The following is a 7208-nucleotide window of genomic DNA, read 5'->3' as shown; positions in this document are numbered from 1 at the left end:
CTCCTGTCCCCTTGTCATTTGCTTCCCTGAGGACCCACTTCCTTGTCCCACTCCCCAAGTCACCCGGGTGCTTCCTCTGTGGCCACTGAGGAGCCTCCTCACTTCTGGTTCTGACCCCATGTCCAGCCATGACCATGTTTGGTGTCAGAGACACCTCCTGAGTCCTCCTCCGCTCCACGCATATTGTCATTGTGAGACCAGCTTGAGGTGCAAGGATGTGGGGTCACCTTCCGCTCTTACTGTCCATGTCCCTGCCCCACCCAAGATGACTTCCAGCAACACTGCCAGTCCACAGAAGTATTTAGGAAGGAGAGGGGATGGGTTTTGTGACTGATGTCAGAGGCCAAGGGAGAGGGGACAGTCCACAGTGATGCACAGCCAGGCCCAGCCACCCCTTCCAGGCAGAAGGGCCACACACTGGGCAGCTCTCAACATAGGCTGATTCTCCCAGTTCTGGAGGCCAGAGTCCAAGATCCAGCACTCCCGCCAGAGGCCCAAGGGGAGGGTCCTTCCTGCCCTCTCCAGCTCCTGGGGAACCAGGCATCTTGGGCTGGTGGTCACCTCACTCCACTCACTCTGCCTGTCTTCTCGTGGCCTCCCCATGGTGTGACTTCTATGTCCTAACTCAGCGACATCTGCAGACCTCCTATTTCCAAATAAGGCCACATCAGGAACTCCCAGGAGACATGTATTTGGGGGCCGCTGTTCAGCCCCTGCACTGCTCCCCACACAGCCCCTGGGTGTTTCAGTGCAGCATGTGTCCTGCCAGGGAGATGGCGAAACCAGACACTATGGTCCCTGCACTTGTGGCCCGGGTTCTAGGAGGTGAGGCCGGCAGGGAACAAAATAACCAGGTGGTGCTGGGATTTGTCCTTTGCGGAGAGCAAACCAGTGGCCTGGAAAGTGGCCAGGGAGGAGTGTTCCACCCGCAGCACAGGTGAGGACGCGCACCCTGGGCGCTGCAGGTAGCAGGGCCCGATGTCGTAGAATGAAGGAGGCCTCTGGTGAGACCTGTGGCAACAGGGACACATGCTGCATCCCGGTGTTCAATTCTTGCTCTTCCTGTGCCCTGAATGGGGAGTGGCACCTCTTGAGTTTTCAGAGGGAGGAAGTATGCCAAGTTCACCTGGACCCTAGATAGGGAAAGGAGCTTGATGGGGGCCAAGGACAGGTCACAGGCTCAGTGGGCTCTGTGTGCACAGGATTGGGGGCCAGGCTTCGGCCACAGGGGCAGTGGTTTTAGTCCTCTTGTCCTGGTTCCTGTGGCCTCCAGAAGGGGCTGTGGCAAGGCTGAGAGTCGGGTTGGGCTGGGGGCTGATGGGGTGTGGTAAGGCTAAGCAGGGTAGGTTCCAGGGCAGGGAACAACACCCAAGTAAGGCCAGGCGCAGTGGCTCAAGCGTGTAATCTCAGCACTTTAGGAAGCCAAGATGGGCAGATCACTTGAGGCCAGAAGTTCAAGACCAGCCTGACCAACATGACGAAAACATGTCCCTACCAAAAAAAATACAAAAATTTGCCAGGCGTGGTGGCGGGCACCTGTGGTCCCAGCTACTCAGGAGGCTGAGGCAGGACAATCGCTTGAACCCGGGAGGTGGAAGACCATCCACTGGCACCTGAACCCATCAGGCAACTGTCCCTTCAGCTCTGGGCGCCTACTTGGGTGGAGGCAGGAGGTCCCAGGTGAGGACAGCACTGGGTCCACAATGGGAGAGAATGAGAGATCAGGTCAGGGCATTCCACTGTCACCTCAGTTGCGGGTGTCCACACTGAGACATGGACATAAGCCCGAGAAAACAACACGAGCTGTACCCTGAACAAGAAGGCAGTCCTCCCCAGCCCCTTGGAGCTCACAGGAGCACTGAGGCCCTTGCCTGTGAGCCCAGATCCACCCTGGCCCATTCCATAGGGTGACTCACTCAGCCTCCCTGACCCCTGCTGACCGGTTCAAGGCTGGAGCCCTGTTTTCACCCCTTCTCTGCCTGCAATGCCAAAGAATTCAGCCACAATTTGCTTTTTTTTTTTTTTTTTTTTTTTTTTTTGAGACTGGATCTCACTCTGTTGCCCAGGTTGGAGTGCAGTGACGCAATCACAACTCACTGCAGCTTCCACCTCCCAGGTTCAAGCATCCTCCTACCTCAGCCTCCTGAGTAGCTGGGTCTACAGGCGTGAGCCACCACGCTTGGCCTGCAATGTACTCTTTTTTTTTTTTTTTTTTTTTTTTTTTTTTTTGAGATGGAGTTTTGCTCTGTCGCCCAGTCTGGACTACACTGGCGTGATCTCGGCTCACTGCAACCTCCACCTCCTGGGTTCAAGTGATTCTCCTGCCTCAGCCTCTCAAGTAGCTGAGGCTACAGGTGTACGCCACCACGCCTGGCTAATTTTTGTATTTTTAGTAGAGACGGGGTTTCATCATGTTGGGCAGGTTGGTCTCGAACTCTTAACCTTAGGTGATCCCCCAGCCTTGGCGGCCCAAAGTGCTGGGATTACAGGCGTGAGCCACTGCACTCGGCCCCGCAATTTACCGGGTTTTTTGTTTGTTTTTGTTTTTGTTTTTTGAGACAGAGTGTGGCTCTGGCACTCAGGCTGGAGTGCAGTGGCACGATCTCTGCTCGCTGCAACCTCTACCTCCCAGGTTCAAGCAATTCTTCTGTCTCAGCATCCTGAGTAGCTGGTATTACAGGCGCCCGCTACCATGCCCAGCTAATTTTTATTTTTAGTAGAGATGGGGTTTCCCCATGCTGGCCAGGCTGATCTTGAACTCCCGTGATCCGCCCGCCTCAGCCTCCCAAAGTGCTGGGATTACAGGCATGGGCCACCGCACCTGGCCACAATTTACTCTTTTTTTTTTTCTTTTTTTCTTTTTTTTCTTTTTTTTTTTTTGAGACAGACTCTTGCTCTTTCGCCAGGCTGGCGTGCAGGAGTGCAGTGGCGTGATCTCAGTTCACTGCAACCTCCACCACCTGGGGTCAAGTGATTCTCCTGCCTCAGCCTCCCAAGTAGCTGGGACTACAGGCACCCGCCAGCACACACAGCTAATTTTTGTATTTTTAGTAGAGATGGGGTTTCACCATGTTGGTCAGGATGGTCTCTATCTCTTGACCCCGTGATCCACCCGCCTAGGCTTCTCAAAGTGCTGGGATTACAGGCATGGGCCACCGCACCTGGCCACAATTTACTCTTTTTTTTTTTCTTTTTTTCTTTTTCTTTTTTTTTTTTTTTGAGACAGACTCTTGCTCTTTCGCCAGGCTGGCGTGCAGGAGTGCAGTGGCGCGATCTCAGTTCACTGCAACCTCCACCACCTGGGGTCAAGTGATTCTCCTGCCTCAGCCTCCCAAGTAGCTGGGACTACAGGCACCCGCCAGCACACACAGCTAATTTTTGTATTTTTAGTAGAGATGGGGTTTCACCATGTTGGTCAGGATGGTCTCTATCTCTTGACCCCGTGATCCACCCGCCTAGGCTTCTCAAAGTGCTGGGATTACAGGCAAGAGCCACCGCACCCAGCCCACAATTTACTGTTAAGTGCACTCTACCTCGTGGGTCTTCAGAGGCCCTGGATTGGTGTCTCATCTCTCAAGGTTTCACCCCACGCGGGAGTGGGTAGGAGCTGGAAAGAGCCCCCCTGCCGGACCCCTGACACTCGCAGTGTACTCAGAGCTTTACCTCCCAGCCCAGACCTGCAAATTATTAAGCCGGAAGAGAATTTCAAACCTAGCCTGATCCCTTCACACTGAGTCCCAGGTGCCACAGCAGCACAGACCCAAATGCCTTAGCTTCCTTCTCTGCTGCCGGTGTCTGACATCACATCAATTTGCGTCCAGCAACCACTGAAGCCAGCAATGTGAGAAGCCCAGAGAGTACTTAAAACTCTCTCCAGCTCCTCTCCCTCCCTCCATCCGAACCTGGCCCACTGCCGGGTGGCTGAGCCAGAAAGGGATGGGAGTGGAGAAGGGGTCTTCAGGCTGAGCTGGGCGGGGGCGACTGTTGCATTGTCTGCTCTGCGAAGCAGAAAAGGAGAGGAGGGAGAGGCACAAATGGGGCGGGGCTGGCTTCGGGCCTTTATTTTCTAGGCTCACCACTGCCCTCTCCCTGTGAGAAGCAGTCGGAAGGGATTGTCCTTCCTGTACTGCAGGAGGAGAAGCTGAGAAACTCAGCTGTGAGACGTGATCAGACTAGTCCAGGACGACACCCAGACATACAGGCCAAAGCTGGGGTCCCTGAGAAGGCCTCTTGCCTCCTAGAGCTTCACTGCTCGCCTCCACTAGAACACTTCGAGGAAGCTTTGAGGGAACAAGAAGCAGACTGAATTCTGGCTTTCTGTAAGGACAGTGAGACTCTATGGCTGGACACAGTGTCTCACTCCTGTAATCCCAGCACTTTGGGCATTTTGCTTGAGCCCAAGAGTTCCAGACCAGCAGAGCAACATGATGAAACCCTGTTTCTACAATAATACAAAAATTAGCCGGGCATGTTGGCACATGCCTGTAGTCCTAGCTACTCAGGAGACTGAGGTGGGAGGTTCACTTGGGCCATGATCACACCATTGCACTCCAGCCTGGGCCACACAGCAAGACCCTGTCTCAAATATATATATAAATATATATATATATACACACACACACTCATACACACACACACACACACACACACATTTGCAAGGCCAAATTTTCAGAGAAAACTAGGACCCCATGATACAAATTAACCCCCAAGTTGCCTTTGCCCACCCAGGAACTTTTCCTTGACAGCCCTATAAAGCGAAGAGGACAGAAATCAAATCTTGAGGCCCCCAACTTGCTGCCCCATCATACTGAGAGGAAACCCAGAATTGCAACTGAGCCAGGGTGCAAATTCCCAGGGTTCAAATTCCCAGGGTTCAAATTCCCAGGGTTCAAGTTCCCAGGGTTCAAATTCCCAGGGTTGACCATGGAACCTTAAGCCTTTCACTTGGCTTAAGGGGTCCTGGATGGGCAGTTCCCCAATGCAGATGGTTCTGCCTGTCTGACAGAACCCAGAGCAAACCCTCTCAGGAGAGACTCCTTCCTCCTACAGGTACTTTTTAAAGCATGAGGGCAAGCACATCATCAGAGATAACCGGGCGCACCAGGAAACAACATTGCAAGAGAAACAATGAGCAATAGCGACAGATCGTGAGGTCTTCAGGCGCTGGAATTGTTAGCCAGACATAAAATAACCGTACTTAACCAGATCTAATGAAATAATAAGTCGTGGTGGGACAGCTGGGTGCAGTGGCTCATGCCTGTAATCCCAGCACTTTGGGAGGGATCAAGCAGACAGATTGCTTGAGCCCAGGGGTTCTAGGCCAGCCTGGGCAACATGGTGAGACCCCACGTCTACAAAAAATACAAAAACTAGCCAGGTGTGGTGACGAGTGCCTGTAGTCCCATCTACTCAGGAAGCTGAGATGGGAGGGTCGCTTGAGGCCAGGAAGTGGAGGTTGCAGTGAGCCAAGATCAAGCCACTGCACTCCAGCCTGGGCGACATAGTGAGACCCTGTCTCAAAAAAGGTAAAATGTGAGCTAGTAAGTTTAAAAGTAGATGGACTGGTTTAGTGGCAAATTACGCAACATCAAAGAGAGAATGCGGGAACCAAAAACTGGCTCAGAAGAATGTATTCAGAATACAACCCAGAAAGACAAGTTCAGGGAAGACACTAAAGACAGAGGAAGAAGCCGCAAGGAGAATGAGAAGGTGTTCCATACATTTAACTGATTTCACAGAAACAGAAGACAGCAAGTATGGCAGAAGCAAAACTTGAAGATATAATGATGGCTGGCTGGGCATGATGGTCGCTGGCCAGGCGTGGTGGCTCACACCTGTGATCCCAGCACTTTGGGAGGCCGAGGTGGCCGGATCACCTGAGGTCAGGAGTTCCAGACCAGCCTAGACAACATGGTGAAACCCCGTCTGTAATAAAAATACAAATATTAGCCAGGCATGGTGGCGCTTGCCTGTAATCCCAGCTGCGTGGGAGGCTGAAGCAGAATCACTTGAACCCGGGAGGCAGAGGTTGTAGTGAGCCTAGATTGTGCCACTGCACTCCAGCCTGGGCAAAAGAGCGAGACTCCGACTTAAAAAAAAAAAAATCTTTCAAGTATGATGGTGAAGTGCAAACAAAAGCAAAGAATTTGCCACCAACATTTTCTCACCAAAAAGTGTGTGCCTCAAGCAGAAGAAACCCAGTACTAGATGGAACAATCTGAGATGCAAGAAGGAATAACGAGCTAAAGAGGTCAATGTGCAGCTCACCTAAGTAGACATTGGGTGTTTGTAAATACAGTTTTATGGGAACCCAGCCACACCCATTTGCTTACATGCTGTTTGTAGTGGCAGAGTTGAGTGGAGTCTTCCCTTGGTATCCACGGGGATTGGTTCCAGGACCCCCAGGGGTATCAAAATCCACAGATGCTCAAGTCCCTGATATAAAATGGCACAGCATATAACCTACGCACATCCTCCTGTATACTTCTTTTTTTTTTTTTTTTTGAGACAGAGTCTTGTCTGTCACCCAGGCTTGAGTGCAGTGGCACAATCTCGGCTCACTGCAACCTTCGTCTCCCAGATTAAAGCGATTCTCCTCCCTCAGCCTCCCGAGTCACTGGGATTACAGGTATATGCCACCACGCCCAGCTAATTTTTTTATTTTTAGTAGAGGTGGGGTTTCACTATATTGGCCAGTCTGGTCTCGAACTCCTGACCTCGTGATCCGCCCACCTCGGCCTCCCAAAGTGCTTATAGGCGTGAGCCACCGTGCCCGGCCCCTCCTGTGTACTTTTTAAATTTGTATTTTTTTTTTAATAGAGTTGGGATCTTGCCATGTTGCCAAGGCTGCTCTTGAACTCCTGGGCTGAAGCAATCCTCCTGCCTCAGCCTCCCAAAGTGCAGAACTCCCCAGTCCTCCCATACACTTGAAATAATCTAATCATCTCTAGATAACTTATAGTATCTAATACAATATAAGTACTACGTAAATAGTTGTTTCACTGTCTTGCTGCTTTTTTTTTTTTTTTTTTTTTTTTTTTGAGACACAGTCCAACTCTGTAGCCCAGGTTGGAGTGCAGTGGCCACAATCTCGGCTCACTGCAACCTTCACCTCATTGGTTCAAGCGATTCTTGTGCCTCAGCCACCTGAAAAGCTGGAATTAACAGGCACGCACTACCACCTGGCTAATCTTTGTATTTTTAGTAGA

The 7208-nt window shown here is 51.6% G+C and overlaps 2 annotated features.

Annotated features, from left to right (window-relative positions):
• Positions 1762-2056: an enhancer, noted in NCBI's record as "tiled region #11639; HepG2 Activating DNase matched - State 18:Pol2". NCBI's record gives its function as "activates a minimal TATA promoter and a strong SV40 promoter by Sharpr-MPRA in HepG2 cells {active_cell/tissue: HepG2}" and the evidence as "EXISTENCE:reporter gene assay evidence [ECO:0000049][PMID:27701403]".
• Positions 4397-4546: an enhancer, noted in NCBI's record as "active region_30065". NCBI's record gives its function as "activates an Ori minimal core promoter by ATAC-STARR-seq in GM12878 lymphoblastoid cells {active_cell/tissue: GM12878}" and the evidence as "EXISTENCE:reporter gene assay evidence [ECO:0000049][PMID:35858748]".

The sequence above is a fragment of the Homo sapiens genome, chromosome X (genome assembly GCF_000001405.40).
Source record: "Homo sapiens chromosome X, GRCh38.p14 Primary Assembly".
Classification (NCBI taxonomy): Eukaryota; Metazoa; Chordata; class Mammalia; order Primates; family Hominidae; genus Homo; species Homo sapiens.
Note: the sequence above shows the minus strand (reverse complement) of the source record. Positions and strands in the feature narration are given on the sequence as shown.